The 19,125-nt window shown below is 46.8% G+C and overlaps 1 protein-coding gene across 4 annotated transcripts in view, besides 1 other annotated feature; it reads left to right on the forward strand.

Annotated features, from left to right (window-relative positions):
- Positions 1–19,125, forward strand: part of SMOC2 (SPARC related modular calcium binding 2) — a 226,809-nt gene that overhangs the window by 75,005 nt on the left and 132,679 nt on the right. For all 4 annotated transcript variants that reach the window (NM_022138.3, XM_011536066.2, NM_001166412.2 and 1 more), the window contains exons 3-4: positions 10,158–10,264; positions 11,440–11,539. In NM_022138.3, coding sequence (NP_071421.1) covers positions 10,158–10,264; positions 11,440–11,539 — 207 coding nt within the window. The remainder of the gene's footprint in view (positions 1–10,157; positions 10,265–11,439; positions 11,540–19,125) is intronic.
- Positions 12,419–12,556: a silencer, noted in NCBI's record as "fragment chr6:168929287-168929424 (GRCh37/hg19 assembly coordinates)". NCBI's record gives its function as "represses an EF-1alpha promoter that drives an FKBP-Casp9 reporter gene in an ReSE screen in HepG2 liver carcinoma cells {active_cell/tissue: HepG2}" and the evidence as "EXISTENCE:reporter gene assay evidence [ECO:0000049][PMID:32094911]".

Raw genomic sequence — 19,125 nt, forward strand, 5'->3', positions numbered from 1 at the left:
GATCTAGCCATTGACCTTGAATAGAACTGCGGTAGTTTACACTGATGCATTTTTCTCATATTTTCATAGAAATTTGTGGAGTTTATGTTTTCAGAACTCTGCACACACATTAATATTTTTCTTTTGATCTGAGACTTTTAGGGCTGTCTTTCTTTTCAACAAAATCTCTGGCATTCCATAGAAAAGCCAAAAAAAAAAAAAAGCCAAATGCCAGGAGAACTTGGAACTATTTTGAGATTTCTGGAAACAGATATTGGACAAAAGCAGCTTCCTTGGAGATCTGAGGACCAAGAGCTTCTGAACGGGCGAGTCTCAGTGAAGGGAACATGGTGACAAAGGCTCTAACTTCACCTGTCGCTCTGTGCATCCATCTCCGAGGCTGCACAATGACCTCAACAGCCCTCAGCAAAGCGGCTGGGACTCAGCCAGCATCTGGCACACATGAGGCCCACGGTGCAGGAAGTCCACAGGTATCACAATCAGATTCGAATCTCCACAAGATGAACGCACATGCTGTTATTATTAAGATTATTAGGCGGGCAGATCATGAGGTCAGGAGACCAGCCTGGCCAGCATAGTGAAACCTCGTCTCTACTAAAAATACAACAACAAAAAAATAGCCGGTAGTAGTGTCAGGTGCCTGTAATTCCAGCTACTCAGGAGGCTGAGGCAGGGGAATCCCTTGAACCCGGGAGGTGGAGGTTGCAGTGAGCCCAGATCGTGCCATTGCATTCCAGCCTGGCGACAACACTGAAACTCCGTCTGAAGAAAAAAGGTTACTGCCACGATGAGGTTTAGAGACTGTTCTTTCCGTTGGTGAACCCCTGGAGTGATACACGCAGAAGTTTACTCCCATGGCCAAGTGATGGTTGTAACAGGAATCTAACTGTTGGTTTTGGGGCCGCTCATCCAAGTTCGCTGTGCCGTGACAAGGCGTTTCGTGTCAGCGCTTCCCTGGAAAAGCTCCTTTCTTCAAGGTTGCCCCAGACAGTCAGCTGTGAGGCCTCGCTCTGAGGCCTGTCTGCGGCTGTCTCTCTGGCATTCTCTGTAGCTTCTGCAGAGCTGGGGTGGGGTGGGGACCACTCTGCCCCTGTGGCCAGCGGCGCCGTGGCCTGGCTGTGAGGCCCAGCAGGGGTTTGGGGTGGCACCTTCCCAGGCCTTCTCAAGCCGCCTCACGCCTGCTCCTGATGCTTCCAGAGAGGAACAGCGGGCAGCAGTGTCTCCGGGAGGAAAGCCAGGCGGCTTCACGTCTGATGTGGGTCGAGGTGCAGCTCCTTCCACTTCCCAGCGTGGACCTGAGGGGCTGCCCTGCCGGGGGAGCAGCTTTGCCATCCTTTGAATCAGCAGCGACAGCTCTCGGGCTCTGAGGCCAGGCGCTGCCTAAGAAGCCGGAGCCACGGGTGTCTCACACTCCAGAGGAACCAGGCCTCCCCGTGGGGCTCCGTCCACGCGCTCTGCTCCTTCTGTTGCAGTTTTCCTGAGAGCACGGCAATGGCCCCTGCGGCTCGCAGCTTCTTCTCAGCACCTGTAGGGAGGAGGACCCCGCCTTTTCCTCAGCTGGGGCTGGGCAGACTCTGACGGGTGAGGCGCTGGCAGCACGTGGGAACCCCCTGTGGGGGTGAAATGCAGGGGCCTGGGCGGTGGAGGGGCCTGGGCGGTGGAGGGCGGGCTCTGCAGGTGTCCCGATGCCCAGCCCAGCTCCAGACTCTCAGGGCTACAAGCTGAGGGCGCCGGAGCGCGAGCCTGGGCCGGGGGGCTCTGTCCTCGCGTCTCTAGAACGAGGAGCCGGTTCAGAGAAACCCAAAGAATTCTTTCTCTCTGGAGGTTTTCCCATCGCATGAGTGTTTCCGTCGAGCTCGTCCTCGTACTCAGCGGCCTAGAAACAGGCCAGAGAGCTCCACACCTGCCCGTTCCTCGGAATTCCACAGCCTCGCCTTGGAGGAAGCGGGAGTCGCGACGTCCCCATGAGGCTCCTTCACCCCCGCACAAGCGCCCGGGGCCGGAGTGTCGCCTGGCTCCTATCGGGCAGCATCGACCTGTTCATTTTCCTCAGAGAACGGGCATTTCCATGAAGGAAATCTGTGCGGGGGTGTGAGTGTGAATGTGTGAATGTGTGAGAGGGCGTTTCTGTTGCATGTGTGTATGCCTGAGGTGTGTGTGCGTGAGTGCGAATGTGTGTTCATGTGCATTGTGTGCATGTGTGATTGTGTATGCTTGTGTGTGAATGTGTGCATGAGTGTGCATGTGTGACTGTGAATGTGTGAATGTGTGTATTCATGTGCCTGTGAGTGTACATATGTGAGTGTGCATGTGTGAATGTGTGTAAATGTGCATGTGTGGATGTGTGAGAGCGTGTGTATGCTTGTGTGAGTGCATGTATGTGACAATGCATGTATGTGTGTGAATGTGTGTTCATGTGTGTGCATGTATGACTGAGTGCATGTGTGAGTGTATGCTTGTGTGGGTGTGTATGTATGGAGAGTGTGCTTGTGTGTGAATGTGTATGAGCGTGCATGTGTGAGTGTTATGCTTATGTGAGTGTGCATGTGTGTGAATGTGCATGTGTGTGTGTTCATGTGCGTGTGTGCATGTGTGAAAGCATGTATGTGCTTGTGTGTGAATGCATGTTTATGTGAGTGCATGAGTGTGCATGCGTGTGTGTGCCTCCTTGTGTATGAATGTATTCATGTGTCTGAGCATGCGTGTGTGTGCGTGCATGTGTGAGTGAGCATGAGTGTGCGTGCATATGCTTGCATGTGTGTTAGTGTGTATCCGTGCACGCGTGTGTATGCATGCGTGTGTATGCGTGCATGTGTGAGTATGCGTGCATGCGAACATGTGTGTGTATGTGTGCATGTGTGAGCATGCATATGTGTGTGAGTGTATGTATGCGTGCATGTGTGAACATGCGTGTGTGAACGCGTGTGTATGCATGCATGTGTATGTGTGCATGTGTGAGCATGCGTGTGTGTATGCGTGCATGTGTGAGTATGCGTGCATGTGTATGTGTGTGTATGCATGCGTGTGTGAGAGAGTGTGTATACGTGCATGTTTGTGTGTTCATGTGCGTGCGTGCATGTGTGAGTGAGCATTAGTGTCCGTGATTCTTTCTGTGCCCTGGGCTCCTGGGCCAGGTGCTTATCCCTGGCTCCACCCTTTCCAGGTTGGATTTTCTTCTTCCAGCAGACACAGTTATCAGAAGCAACTTCAATCGGATTTGTGCTTGTGTCTTGCAGAAACTCTACCCAGAGTATGTTTACCTTAACTCGCTTATGGTATTTTAACACGTCTGATGTTTGGGAGCGCCCTTCCTCACAGGCTGGGGTAGACATAACAGGAGATTCAGGGCCTTCGGTCTCGTGTGCAGCCGTGATCAGAAACACAGCCGGACGTTCCTAGAACATCGCACATCCAAAGGGCCTTTCCTTGTTTGCTTTAGTGGCACCACCAAACCCAAGGCACCGGCTCATCAGCAGAGCAGGGGCCTCTCCGCACAGCCTAGGGAGCTTCTGCCCTCTGGAAGGTTCTAGTCAGCCTTCCTGCAAAGGATTTAGTGACCATTTACACAATCATCCATTTCGATCTGTTGCAAATCACTGATATTTTCATAGAGATGGGCATGATCTGTGGTTTCTTGTATAAATATTATAAAGGCTGTCTGAATACTGTAATATAGTCTTGCAATGGTTTGCAGTTTCTCTTAACTTTCTCTTTACAATTTGGCAATCTCAGTTACATATTTAGAGATTTCCTATTATAATTTTGTTTCTGCCTTTATGCATTTAAAAAGAGAATACTTACGTAAAACGAAAATGTCGTTCCTGTCTCCCTTAGCTCTGAAATGGTGTCGTTCTGGTCATGGTTGAGGGAAGGTTGGACGGATGCGCTAGTCTGCTGCTGTGGGGATGCATCATGCTGCTTTTGCTGGCCAAGGGCTGCAGACCACTGGGGTTGGGGGCGCTTATCACAGCACTTTCATCTATATTAGGATATTAGGATGGAAAAGAATACTTCAGTTCTGCTGGAGAGTGTTGCAGCATGGCATTCTTAGTTTTTCTGACTCTGGCCTTCAAAATTACGGGTGGGTAAAATACTACAACTTTTAAAACACAGTGTCTGCCTTCATTTGATGCCAAAATCAATAAAAGCCATGCCACTCTGAGGGCTATCATTGCCGTGGCCACTACAAAGACACCATATGTGTCCTCTGCCTGGCTGCCATTTGCTCGTTCAGCCCGTGGCATTCCCACACCAGCCCCGTCCCGGCCAGCCCTGCACTGGCTCATGGGGAGATGGCAGTGCAAGCTGAGCCTGAACTTGAAGAGTTTACATGGCCGTGGCCATAATCATAGCCATTCAGTGACCTCGCGAGATCCAGAGTCAGAGCATCTGTTGACCAGAAACATATCCAGCTAGCTGCTCCTTCCATATCGATAAATGAGACACCACAGTCATTACCTGTGTCCCAAAGTTCTCTGCCTATTGCAGTAGGAAGCTGAGTGGCATCAAAGTCTTGAGACACCATCTCTGGTGTAAACCAAAGCATCTTGGAAGACCAACAGGAAGAGTTACTTTGATTCACTTTTGCCTAGCTTAGTGTGTTTATGTTATTCGATTCTGTTACAGACAGGAGTCCCTGAGAGAGGAACTCTCTGGGCTTAGGACTACCAAATTCATCATCACCTGTGAAGATCACTGTTTCTTGGCCCTGTTTTGAAAAGTTTTCTCAAAGATCCCTTTTAACTGTTCCTTTTAATTGTTGCTCTCCAGATCTCTGTAAAATGTTCAGCAAAGCAATCTCTGCTGATTCTTGCCTAATCCTGTTTTGAGAGATTCTAGCAAAGTAGGGAATTATTTGCTTTCCGTTTAAAAGAAAACACTCATCATAAGTAACCATTATAAAACACTGTTTTCATTTCTACTTTGTAGTGAGCATCACATTTTAATGGTTTCCATGACATATCTTTTTTTTTCTTTTGAGACAGAGCCTTGCTCTGTCACCCAGGCTGGAGTATGGTGGCACGATCTCGGCTCACTGCAACCTCCACCTCCCAGGTTCATGTGATTCTCCTGCCTCAGCCTCCTGAGTAGCTGGGATTACAGGTGCCCACCACCAAACCTGGCTAATTTTTGTATTTTTAGTAGAGGTGGAGTTTCACCATGTTGGCCAGGCTGGTCTTGAACTCCTGACCTCAGGTGATGCACCCGCCTTGGCCTCCCAAAGTGCTGGGATTACAGGCGTGAGCCACTGTGCCAGGTCTCCATGACATATCTTGATATGTAAACAAGCTTGTAATCTGATTGGAGCCTATTTTGTTTTGTAACTGAGAGAGATGAAATATCATCCAACAGGTAGAAATAAATTGCTTGCACAATTAACTATCATTAACCAAAAATTCATCAAAATATTTCTGTTAGGGCTAGGCGTGGGGGCTCATGCCTGTAATCCCAGCATTCTGGGAGGCGGGAGGATTGCTTGACACCAGGAGTTCAAAACAAGCCTGGGCAACAAATCAATACCCCATCTCTACGAAAATTAAAAAATTTGCCAGTCGTGGTGCCTGTCTTCCCAGCTACTGGGCAGGCTGAGGTGAGAGGATTCCTTGAGCTCAGGAGGTTGAAGCTGCAGTGAGCCGTGATGGCACCACTGCCCTCCAGCCTTGCCGACAGAGACCCTGTCTCTAAAGCAAAACAAAACCTGTTGTTAGTGATGCCTTGCTAAGCAATGATGAGTTCTTTCTTTATAAAGTCCCGGCTCTGCAGGTAAGAGCAAACATTTTCTAAAAATAGATGACAAAATTCACATAAGAAAGTTTTTATTTGGTCTAGTAAAAAGTGACTAAATTCTTCAATTAGAAGGAGATTAACACTTTTATTTAAAGTGTTAATATTATAATTTCCAGCTAAGATGTTTTTCTCTGAGGTAGACATTGATTATAGTAATATAATACTATGAGCCAAAGTACTATGAAACCATTTCATCCCAGTCAGATGGTTACAACAGTGTAACAAAGACAAAATAAATTCTGGGTGGATAAACACTTGTGTCTGTTGGCTGGACATACAACGGTTTAGCACTGTGGCAGACAGCAGGCACTCCCTCCGTAAGTTACATGCAGGACTGCCATGTGAACCATCATTTCTACTCCATCATTTCTACTTTTTACCCAAAAGACTTGAAAACAGGCGTTCAAACAAAAATTTACATCTGCATGTCTATAACAGCATTATTTACAATAGCCAAAAGATCCTAAGTGTTCATCCATGAGTGAATGAATAAACAAAATATGGTCCATCTGTTCAATAGAATATTATTCAGCCATAAAAAGGAACATGGCTCTGAAACATGCTGTAACATACATAAACCTTGACAACATCACGCTAAATGAAGGAAGCCAGACACAGAAGGATACCTCGTGTATGATTACATTGATGGTGTAGACATGCATGAACACACGTACATGAACCTTGAAATCATCATGCCAAGTGAAGGAAGTCAGACACAGAAGTATACCTCGTGTATGATTACATTGATGTACCATCTCTGGTGTAGACATACATCAGCATACATACATGAACCGTGAAAACATCAGGCTAAGTGGAGGAAGCCAGGCACAGAAGGATACCTCGTGTGTGATTGCATTGATAGGAAATGCCCAGAATAGGCAAATTTGTAGAGACAGGAGGTAGACGGATAGTTCTAGGGGTTGAGGTGAGGGGGAAATGGGGAATGGCAGCTTAACGGGCATTCTTTTGGGAATGAGGAGAATGTTCTGGAACTAGGCTGAGGTGGCAGTTGCCCAACACTATGAATGTGCTACATGCCACTGAATCGTTCACTTTAAAATGGATAAGATGGTAAATTTTATGTTATTTGTAGTTGTACAGTAATTTTTTTTTTTTTTTTTTTTGAGACGGAGTCTCGCTCTGTCGCCCAGGCCGGACTGCGGACTGCAGTGGCGCAATCTCGGCTCACTGCAAGCTCCGCTTCCTGGGTTCACGCCATTCTCCTGCCTCAGCCTCCCGAGTAGCTGGGACTACAGGCGCCCGCCACCGCGCCCGGCTAATTTTTTGTATTTTTAGTAGAGACGGGGTTTCACCTTGTTAGCCAGGATGGTCTCGATCTCCTGACCTCAAGATCCACCCGCCTCGGCCTCCCAAAGTGCTGGGATTACAGGCGTGAGCCACCGCGCCCGGCCAGTAATTCTTTTTTTTTTGTGGCAGAGTCTTGCTCTGTCACCCAGGCTGGAGTGCAGTGGTGCGATCTCAGCTCACTGCAATCTCTGCCTCCCAGGTTCAAGTGATTCTCCTTCCTCAGCCTCCAGAGTAGCTGGGAACACAGGCGCCTGCCACCATGCCTGGCTAATTTTTTTTTTTATTATTTTTATTTTTAGTAGAGACGGGGTTTCACCATGTTAGCCAGGATGGTCTTCATCTCCTGACCTCGTGATGCGCCCACCTCAGCCTCCCAAAGTGCTGGGATTACAGGCATCAACCTCCGCACCTGGCCGTCATACAGTAATTTAAAAAATTATGTTGCTTATGTTCTGGGGATTTAATAATCAAACAGTTAAACATAAAGTGTTCAGAGTGGAATCTCAACAAGGCTGTTAAACAGTTAGGGTTCTGCTTAATTTTTAACTCAACCAAAGAATCATACAGAGTAAAAATATATTAAGGAGAGACATTTATCATCATCTGTAAATAAGGTTTCCAGGGGACAGTGTTGAAGCATCCTATTCCATTCTTTCAAAGCGATTAAAAAGTTGGAAAGTTGGAAATAGTATAATTTTGAGGGTGTGTTTAACATTTTGATTTTTATAAAGAGGGGCATTTAATTCAGTCTAAGGTATGTCTGTATCAAGCATATAATGGCTTAGAGTGATATTGAGAACACACGGGGGCCATGACTGTTTCTGAGTGCTCATTCTCTGGCAATTTTGTGCCTCTCGGTAGAATGGACCTTGTCGGATGCTGGTCAGGCACTTCTCTGTAGTAAAGATCTTGAACCTGATTTAACACGAGATATCCAGAATAAGGAATAGCAAATCTGTGGAATAAGCCGCAACCCTGTAGCAGTTTTACTTCATAAGATGACTGCAGGTTTATTTTGAGTGATGATTTATGCAGGCCTTGTAATTTCATGCTAAGTCTTAATTGTTTCCTATGACTAAATAGTTTGCCATAGGCTAGACGTAAACTTGGAATTTAATATTCTATTAAACCCAAGAGCTGCAGATTTCAGAACTATCTGACCAGTGGCAAATGTGAAGTCTTTAAAAGAAGTCCACGCCAAGAATGGAGCCCACAGGAGTTTGGAAAACTTAGCTTTCTTGGCATGTTCCATGATAGCTCAAATATTAGACCTAATTTATAGCTCCATCTGTACCTCGTGGAGACCTCGCAAGCTGGAACTCATATCACTTTTCCTTTTTAGACAGTCAAAACCACAGGTTATACTAAAAAACGAGGACAGAAGTCCAGCAAAGCAGTGATTTCTCCTCAGCTAAAACACAGACTGCATTAAAACCACATGTTGCTGAGTGCTGGCTGGCCAGGCCAGACTTTAGAATAAAGCTGAAGGCATGAAGCTGGGATGCATGGAGGAGCGTTTGCTCAGATGTGTAGGCCCGTAATGCTCTATGCAGCATGTGGCCGGTGGTTCTGCAAAAGCCAGAGAGGAGTCGCACAAAGGCCCTGGAGCATTGTTAGAGGCGGAGCCTGTAGGAGCCCGCTGTGACGGGTGGAGCCCAGGGCTGGTAATCGGATCGCATTTTGCCATAGCCAGCACTTTAACCACGAGGGAGTCAAAAAGTCACCATCTGAAGACGGAAGTGAACAACATTTGAAGAAGAGTCCTTGGAGTCGAGACGGCCTTTGTGCTCTCTCAAGATGCAGGCACTTGTGATTGAAATCTGGAAATACGTTTTTTAAAAAGGAAAGCCATTTTTTCAAGTTTTAAAATTCAAATAAGCTATATGGTGTGATGGTCCCAAGAAGTAAAGCATGCATGTGTGTTCTGCTTCCGGGGAGGCGGCCCATGGCAGCCAACGTGACGTCGTCTCCTGTGGTGGGAGGCTGTTCTTAGGACAAGCCTTTTCCCCCTGGGGGCACTGAAAGATGGGCCTGGTTGATGCTGGGCTCACAGCTTTCACTCCCTGGGCTGGAAGGCTGAGAAGAGCTTCAGTAAGCAACCGACTTTGTGGTCCTCACGTGTCTTAACCTGGCCCTGATTGTGCAAGTTAGGGAGAAACAAGGCCTGCTTGTGGCACACACGGATCCTGCATTACTGCTTTTCATGTCTCTGTATTTCTGAATTAGTTTTTTTCCACAGTGAGCTTAGATATGCCTGGAAGTCTAAAGACTTTTCCAGTTTTGCTCATCCTTGGGGTGTCTTCTTAAGTAGTAGCAGTGACGTTGCGCCTTCTGTGAAATCTGTGTTGTTGGGAAGGTGGGATGTGGAGCCTCTGGGGCAGAGGATGAGGCTTTCTAAGAAGACCTGACCCTTTTATCCACCTGACAGTCAGATTTCCATGTGAAGGTGGAAGAGGCAGGACGGGAAACAGAGAAAAGGGACGAGCCACGCTCTCCTCTCAGGCTGGTCTCAGTGGGACGGTGCCCTGGGCTGCAGCTGTGGTTGGAAGTCCCACCGCGTGCGTCCTGAGACCCCCGCCCCTCAGTCACTTCCCTTTGGTCTGTTTTTAATGGTGGCATCTAGCCCTGCCCACCCTCTGCATCTGGACTTGATCCTGGTGTGTTCAGGTGGTCGTCCTTGGATCTGAGGACAGCCTGCCTCCGTCCCACCAGGCAGCTGGCGTTTCCCCATTTTCAGGAAGCAGGGGCCACCTGTTTCCCCAGGGATAAGCTAGGAGGCCTTCCTGGGCCTCAGTGTTCTTCCTCACTCAATGTGGAGAATGGGCCTGCCCTTCCCGCCCCTGGGCCTCGCATCAGATAGGACCAGGCCTGCATGTGACAGGCACCTGCCCTTCTTCTGAGGCTCCCTTTTCTGAGAGCTGAGCTGCCTGTGAAGCCCTTTCCAGCCTCCAGGTCCTCAGCACTCCTGCCTAACTCATGCCTTCACATCTTTCAATGTTCCTATATCTGTTCTATCTTCTTCCCATTGCATAACCACACCTCTGCCCTGTTCTTCCCTACAGACGTGTCCAGGTGTGTGGCCGAAAGGAAGTATACCCAGGAGCAAGCCCGGAAGGAGTTTCAGCAAGTGTTCATTCCTGAGTGCAATGACGACGGCACCTACAGTCAGGTTACCGGCCTTGCTTGGGAGGTTCTGCACCTGTGCGATTAGGGAGGGAGATGTGGAGCGGGTGTGGGGAGAAGGCAGGTGGGGGGAGCCGAACAGAAGAAGCAGCGGGTTTGTTCTCTGGGGAAATCAGCCTTCTGCATTTTAGAAGTTAATTCGTAATGAGCCTACTTGGCATAAATAGACACATAAATGAAGGTGTGTGTTTATTTCTTAGTTGGTGCAGGCATTTATATCATTGCTGCTGTCATTCACACTTTCATTACTATGAATTTAGCCTGGAAGCTTCCTTAGTGAGGCCAATTAGACCGTGCTAACCTGGCTTGCAGCTTAGAATTTAATTTTAGTTTGATTTTAATTATGGGGAGCACACACTAAAAGTCGTGTCTGTGCCAAGCGTGAGCTCCTGGATCATTCATTCCAACCTGATGGGCCCACAGACATGGAGCTGAGCCAAGTCAAATTCATGTTGTCAGCCAAAGGCACTGTTGAGAAAGTCAGCCAGCTCTCCGTTTTGAGTGTGTCAATGCTGTTAACTCCTTATTAAGGAAAAACAAAGTACTAACATACAATGCTAACTGGCACAGGGGCAGAAAGAGCAGAAAAAACAGCACGGGTTCTGCACTTTGACATGCCTGGGGCCCATTGGGTGATGATGTGAGTTCTGTGTGTTTACATCATCGTTTGGCCTTTGAGAGACAACGAGGGAGAGAATGAGAGAGAGAGGAGCTGGAGCTGAAGGACAGGCTGTTCTGGCCCTGGTTGCAGGGGGAGCGGGCGGTGCAGGCTGCAGAGTGAACACTAAAGAGGCCGAGGTTGCTCTCCTGGCTCTACAGTGGGGAGCTCCTGACCTTCCCGGGCCTCAGTTTCCCCACTCATAAGATGAGGGCTAGGGCTCCATCTGGAAGGCGGTGAGGATTAGTGGCTTCACAGGTAAGGTGTCCAGCCCACACTAGCAGTCAGTAAAGTGCTGATTTGGGCCCCTTTTATCTCTAAAACCCTGGGGTCAAGACCTGCACACTTTCTTTACCGAGGACTCAAATGCAGCCACAGAAGTAGCTCTGGGTATCCCAGGACCCTGTCTGAGCCACTGCCGCAGAAAGCAGAGTGGGCCTCGCAGCCGTGAGGCGCTGCGCCACGGGCCCGGGAGGGCTTACCCGTCCTGTGCTCTCTCGCAGGTCCAGTGTCACAGCTACACGGGATACTGCTGGTGCGTCACGCCCAACGGGAGGCCCATCAGCGGCACTGCCGTGGCCCACAAGACGCCCCGGTGCCCGGGTAGGTCTGACGTGCCTTTCCAAGTGGAAGGCTTGAAGGGAATTGGTTTGCCGTTTCTTCTCATCATCTTCCCTGGGTTTACTGATAATTCAAAGGGAAATCCAGTTTGGCCGGCATTGTGAGCCACAGTGGGAATAGATCTCGTCACTGACAAAGCCTACATTTTAGGGAGCCCTTGTTTTTAAGAGGGGAAGGGTGAAGCTGTGTGAATGTATGCATATGGCTGGAGGCCAGCTTACTAAAGGAAGATAGCCCTGCATCTGATCATGATGGGTTAAGATGATTCAGGTCCCTTAATTGTTTAAAATAACCGCAAGGACTTGGAGTCACCAGTGGAAATGACCAAATGTTTTCTTTGGCCAAAAAAGTGAAAATTGCTGGTTTTGTATGCATATGTTTTCAAAGAAAAATGGGTCTTTCTTCATAAGTCAATTTCAAAATGGTTTATGTTATTTTATTACTCGTAAGAGGGCTTGATGTACTAAAAGTAATAAAATTAGAAGTTTAAAAATCTGTAAAATATTCTCTTTCCCATTAGTGTTTTTTTTTTTTTTGCCAATAGTGCTGTAAATGATTTAGATCATTTTTATTTGAAAATAATCTGCAGCCCAAGTTTGATTAATTTGTGGGGGAGACTTATCAGACCATCTATGAAGAAATGCTATGATCTAGCCCTCCAGATTCCTGGATCATATGTATTAAGATAGTCAAAACACATCAATATAAAGCAATAATAAACTACAAAATGTCTCTCCCTGTTTCTCATGTACAATCTTGAAACATTTGCATTTAGAGTTTACCTTTTGATTTATTTTTCTGTTTAAGGGATATATATCTTTTAATCTGGAATTCTGTTTATTATTCAAATGTTTTTCAAGCTTCCTGAGCCATGGCCCTGGCCAGAACTCATGACCTCTGTGGGTTCCAGGAGAATGAGGGTGTCCACAGTCAGCAATGACATAAGGCCTAATGTTTCCAGCGACTGGCCATGGGGATGCATGATGTGGAATTAAAATATGTTTATTTGTAAAAACTTTTTCTCCAGAGCCTAAATAGTGCTGGAAATATATCTTTAGTTAAGCTAACATGTATACCTAATAGTTCTGTTGCAAACTCATGGAGGAAATGAAACAGAAAAACATCACCAAGATTAACTGGGTCTGTGTGTGTCCCTCTTTGACTTTGAGAGACACTTTCACTTCCTATTTCCTTCATCCACAAGCAGCATTTTGAGGTGAGCCTTGTTTTACGAAGGGGAAAGCAGTGGGGATAGGGGCATCTATTTCCGTTGCTTTAGTGATATCATCTGATAATTAAGGAGTGTCCCAAAGAACTTTCTTAGAAAACATGTGCAAAATTGGCTGAATTTTGTACGATCTACAAATAGTGGCTTGTTTCTGGAATCAAATCAGTGTACCATCTACTCACGTTGTTGCTTCCAACTAGGTCTCAGTATCATCTCACTGTATAGAAATATTCCTTTTTTTTTAACTGCCTACGTGGAACGTTTGGTCCAAGGAATGGACTGGGGAAGAGAGTAGATGGCCCTTTGCATATAGAAGTCTGGTGTTTATTGGGCAGCCCATGCGCTGGGTAGGAAGCCAGGCGTGCGAGATGAAAAGCTTCGATGCCGAGGGGCAGTTTCCTTGAGAAGACGGTGCTGTCTGTGAGGGGGGGCAGTGTTTCCACGTCGGGGCAGGGTTCCGCTGGCTGCACCCTTGGTGTTGGCAGGACAAGCGTCCTTCTACCCCTGGTTCACCTGTTCGGTGCAACTAGTATATTCCGCAGGTCTACAGAGTTACGGAAAAACTCTCTTAATCCCTGGCTGTGTTCCAGGCTTCCCCTCCGCACACATGTGGGCACGGCGGAGCCAGTGTCTATGCCAGGGTCACTTTGGAAACTTTATGGAGTCATGGCAAATTGTGGAGAGAATTTTGAAATTGAAGGGAGAATTATGGAGGCGAGAGGTGTTGAGTATACATACCCCCCAAACACAGAGAATTTATCATAAATTCATACTGGAATTTAACTTCTTCCTGAAAGTTATATAATGCAGAGAAGCAGGGAAGTTAAGTAATGCAGAGAAGCAGAGAAGCGGGCATCACCTGTGAGATCGTGGTCAACAGCATGGGCCACAGCTGGGCAGTGTCTTGATCTGTAGGCGCCAGGGAGCTGGACCTCTGGGCATACCCTTGGGGGTTCACGGAGAAGTCAGCTCATACACAGAATGGCTAATCTGCAGTATGCACTGTCTGTACATGGCAGGAGTACTTTTCATCAAGTTTACTAAAATTGGGCAAATTTCAGTATTTAATAAATGTTTTTTGCCCTCAAGTTAATACCGAGGTTACCATAGAAGCAGACTCTATAAAAATTTGAAAATCAGACAATGAGATTTAAAAAGAGCCGTAGATAGGAGCTGTTTTTCAGAAAGTGCATGTGTGTGTGTTTATGAATAATACATGCAAACGTAACTTGAGGCCAGCCACAGCGGAGGGAAACGGGGCTCCACTGACTGGCATGATTCCTGGAGAGCAGAGAAAGCCCTTGCCCCAAAGCCTCCCAGCTTTTCAGTTGTCTCAGAAAGATCTTTAATAGGAAATGGATTCCTTTATTTCATAATCATGTATTCTTAAAGCCATGAATGCAAAATACCTAAATTCCTATTAATCCATAAATTCCTATTAATCAGATAATATAATGAGACAATCCAGCAGAAAAACGGCCAAAAGTCTCGAGCAGGCAGCATTTTATTTATAAAGGAAAAAATCCTGATGACCAGTAAAGGCAGGAAAAGGTGCCTAGGATCTTCAGTCCCAGGGAACTGCAAATTAAAGTCACAATTAAAGTCACCGTGCAACTCCCCTCCACACCCACTGGTTGGAAATGCAAATTAAAGTCACGGTGCAACCCCCCCCCCCCCGCCCCCACACCCACTGCTCTGGCAGAAATGAAAAACCGTGATTCTATGACTTGCTGGTGAGGACAGAGCTGCGGGTGTGGTGGGAACTGGTACTGCCCTTTGCAACATCAGTTTGCCCCTTTGCATGTGGGTGATTAAGATCCCAGCTCTTCCATTCCGGGAGGAAACCCAGGAGAAATGCATTCACCTGTGTGGGAGGAGACCTGGGAGGGCGTTCCCAGCAGTGTTCACATGAGAACCAAAGCCTGGAAACAGATCTGTGTCCATTGGCGTCTGCCTGGGTGAGCACTGCGGTTCGCTCGGTTCATCCTACAGAGCAGTGAGCACTGATGAAAAGGTCCAGTGCCTTCCTCAGTGGTGCCGTGCGCTAATGTCCTCCTGAGTCCACGGAGCCCCACACGGAGGCACCCCAACCACAAATCCTCCCACAGCTGAGAGTCAGAAAACTCAGCTCCAGCTCTGAGGGATGCATCCAGAGGTGGCAAACCATGAAGACCAGCAGGGAGTGATGGCCACACACGCAGGGCCACGGTTGCTTGCATGCGGTGGAGAGCAGGGGGGTCAATTTTGTGATTGCAGAGGGGGCTGACTTGGGGAGTCCTTTTCCTGCTCTGGAAAATGTCTTCACAGGTTTTGGTTGATAATAATTCATTACGTGTACATTTATCTTTTGTGCACTTTTCTGTATGGGTGTCAATATTTTAGGAATTTAAAATGTTAAAACGTGCAACGCCACTGAAAGCGGTAACGCAGGCTGAATTCTCCCCACATGTACACATTTCTCTAGCGTCCTTCCCTGAGGATGTTTACAGAGGGAATGGGACCAGATGCTTAGGAGCTGGTGGAAGGAGAAGATAGGAAAAGACACATCCCTGAGCCTGAGGGAGGGCTGGGAAGGAAAGACCCAGGGGGGATTTGGGGAACAGGAAAATTAAGGTTTGCCTTTGGGGATGCTCTGGAGAGCTGGAGAGAGCGGGCTGGGCATTGCGGCCCCCCACTTGGCCACGCAGAAGTGCCAGCCATGGCTCACATTCGCCAGGGCCAAACACTGGCTGCCTCATAGCAGCCTAAATTGTAGGGGTTAAACCTACTCTTTTACAGACGAGAAAACCTTCCAAGGTCTCTGTGCTTGGAAGTGGCAGAGCTGGGATGTAAACCTACATCTTTGTCTCCATAACCCATGTTTCTCCCCCAAATACCAAAGTATCAAAATTCTTGGGGCCTTGAATTCCTATTTACACTTGGCTGGAAGTCGGGCGTAGGAGAATGTGGGCAGAGATGGTCAAGGGCTCTGGAGAGTGGGGTGAGGTTGATGGCAAATGGTGTGGTGCCTTGGATATGGCGAGGACAAGAAGCCGGCTCTCGGAGACGTATCCAAGTCCACTTCATGTTCTGCGCTGCTGAGAGCAGGTGTTTCTTGCTCACAGTTTAGAGATGTATGTGCTTCTCAGAGCCCTGCTGATGTCGACCTGTGGGATCTGTAGATGGCTTTAGGGCAGGTGTTTCTTGCTCACAGTTTAGAGATGTATGCACTCCTCAGGGCCCTGCTGATGTCGACCTGTGGGGTCTGTAGATGGCTTTATGCTCAGGGAGTGCCCTGCTGCCCCGGTGTTCAAGGAAGGCACAGTAAAGGGCAGGGTTCACACTACATAACAAGCCCTTCATGTCCTTCGTCCTGGGATTGGGGGCCAGCTCCACGTGTCTCCTGAAAGACAGAGTTGGTTCTTATTTCTTCTGTAGGGATTTTCTTTTTGTTTCTTTCTTTTCTTCCTCACCACCCTCCCCCCCTCCCCCACAAAGATTTGAAGCCTAACATTGCTGGGGGCAGGATTAGAGGTTGAAAACAAAGGCCTTTTTGCCAAGAGAGGGTGTTTGCAACCCATTCTCCAGTATTTGGATATAGCTTCAGGTTTTTAATCTCATCTCTCCTCTGTAACTGTGCACCCTGACCAAGAGCTGGTTCCTGGCATGAGTACAAAGTGGGTTAAGATATTGTAAGCTGAACCTACATGCAAGATTTTTTAATATTACAATATTCAAAGAATCTTCATATATAGCTTGGTTGGAGTTACGTGTTTGAAGGAAGCTACAGGTTTTGAGTTACAGAAGAGGGATAGACACAGCCCATGTGTAGTAGCTGGTGCCCATCTTGAGACCCCCAGCCTATCCCTGCCTTCTAAAGTAGGGACCAGGCCTCATACACTGCAGCCATCGGCCTGTTCCGACAGAGTGGACATCTTCCTGTTCCACCTGACACAGCTGTGTCTGGCGTAGAAGGAGTCCTTTCCCATTGCATGGGGAAGAAGACATCTGTTTCTTCCCATTTATTTCCTAACAAGCTCTGTAACATGCAAATTTATAATTTGGTTTTAATTACTAAAGTCTGTGTGATACCTGTGACAGGCAGCAGTAGGTCAGTGGCCTTCTCTAGGAATTGCCTCTCTGCGGTCTGAATTTCCTCCCCGCTCTAAAATTTCCTCTCTGCGGTCTGAATTTCCTCCCTGCTCTAGGAATTTCCTCTCTGTGGTCTGAACATGACTATGCGTCCATCTTCACTGTGGATGCTCATCCCAGAGATTTCTAAATCTGGGTTTGGGGAAGGCCCTGTTATAAATGATGGATGATCTTGGAGTCGCATGAATCTCAGTACATGATATACATTTATTTAACTATGACTTCTGCATTTTTCTGCAAGGCCTAAAGTCTTGTCCTCCATCTGAAATGGTGGAACTCCATGTTTGTAGTAGTATCCTAAATGACTTCAGAAAAAAATACACTTCATAAGCCAAAGCTAACTGAATTTTTAATTTTTCACATGAATTTCCCTGGCACTAAGTTAAGGACCCTACATAGCTGAGGGACTTGAAAGGATCACCCAGAATAATTAAATTCCCAAATCCTGAGATCAACGAGGCAGCTGCGTTTGGTCTCCAATGTCTCTGAAGCACTTCCTGGTAGAAATCATTCAGGGCCAGTGTGCAGTGGCTTGGCTTGACCTGGAGAGCCTGTGCCTTGGAGAGAATCCAGCTTGCTGTTTGTCTCCACCTCAAAACGGCTTTTTCTTTAGCCTTCGTAGGTCTTTTCTTGAAAAGTGAAAGTTATTAAAGTAAAATATTTCAATACCATTGAAAGAAATGTGAAAGAAATTTAAAAGAAAATGTAAAAACAAACAACCTTAAGGAGAAGTAGGAAATGCACCGAAAATTGAGGCCTCTTTCTAGATGGCCATGAAAACAATGAGAGGTGGTCACTTCAGCAATCAAGCCACAATATCAAATATAAATCTGAATTTTATCTGTTTAAAATACTTGTAGGCAGGGAGTGGTGGCTCTTGCTTGTAATCCCAGCACTGTGGGAGGCTAAGGCAGGGGGATCACTTGAGCCCAGGAGTTTGAGACTGGCCTGTGCAACAAAAGTGAGACCCCCCACCATCTCTACAAAAAATAAAAATTTAAAAATTTAAAACAATTAAAAACTTGTGAATTTTTTTCAGAGAAAAATGTTAAATTTACTCTGTAACACGTAAATTTATAGCACCTTTTATAGTATCGAGGACATTTATTTTACATCCATGATGACATAAAATAGTAATTTGATACAGCCAACACAGGATTTGTAAAATTTTCAATAAAAGATTCAGATTGAATTCTGAAAGTGTTCAACTGATACTAAATTTAAAAACATAATAATAAATAAAATGTTAAAGAAAAAGACCACAGGGTGTAGGTTTAGTCTGACAAGCCGCTTCAGGCCGGCTTGGGAAGAGTGGGAGGTCCCTGCGTCTGCCAGGGCCCGGACTGGAAGTCAGGTTCCCCTGCGTCCCGCCCTGGCCCTTCCCTGGGTGATGACTCCAGAGGCCCTTGGGGCTGAAGCTCCCATCTGGGCCCAGCCTTTCCTCTGCTTCACTTTTCTTTTTAAAGTTGGACTTTATGTTGAGTTATTCACAACTATTCTGATAGACAATATTCTGGTGTAACTTTTTCTATTCAGGAAAAATATTTATTACTTTTAACCTCAGGAAAAAGTACTTTCTGGTGTCTAATGCTTGTGTTTTTTATAATCTGCTCCTCTGTTATACTTTAGTGTACATTTAATTTGGCGGCTAATTTGTACTGGAGCCTCACATGAGTTGAGAACAGTATCCTGTAAAATGGCCCTTTGTTGCACCTCATCTACAAGTGACTTTTCGCTCCTGTTTTCTAATAGTTAATAAAATGCTCCCAAAGAAATCAAGAGGTCTTTGGAAGTAAATGGCCCCAATTTGTATAGGTCTATTTAAAGAATAATGGCTGAGTGCTTCTAGAGATTTTATTTTTATTTATTTATTTATTTATTTTTGAGATGGAGTCTGGCTCTGTCGCCCAGGCTGGAGTGCAGTGGCACAATCTCGGCTCACTGCAACCTCCGCCTCCGGGGTTCAAGCGATTCTCCTGCCTCTGCCTCCGGAGTAGCTGGGACTACAGGCACCCGCCACCACGCCCAGCTAATGTTTTGTATTTTTAGTAGAAACGGGGTTTCACCGTGTTAGCCTGGATGGTCTCAATCTCCTGACCTTGTGATCCGCTCACCTTGGCCTCCCAAAGTGCTGGGATTACAGGCAGGAGCCACCGTGCCCAGCCTCCAGAGATATTTTATGTACATAAAAACAAGTATATTATTTTTT

The sequence above is a fragment of the Homo sapiens genome, chromosome 6, assembly GCF_000001405.40.
Source record: "Homo sapiens chromosome 6, GRCh38.p14 Primary Assembly".
NCBI lineage: Eukaryota > Metazoa > Chordata > Mammalia > Primates > Hominidae > Homo > Homo sapiens.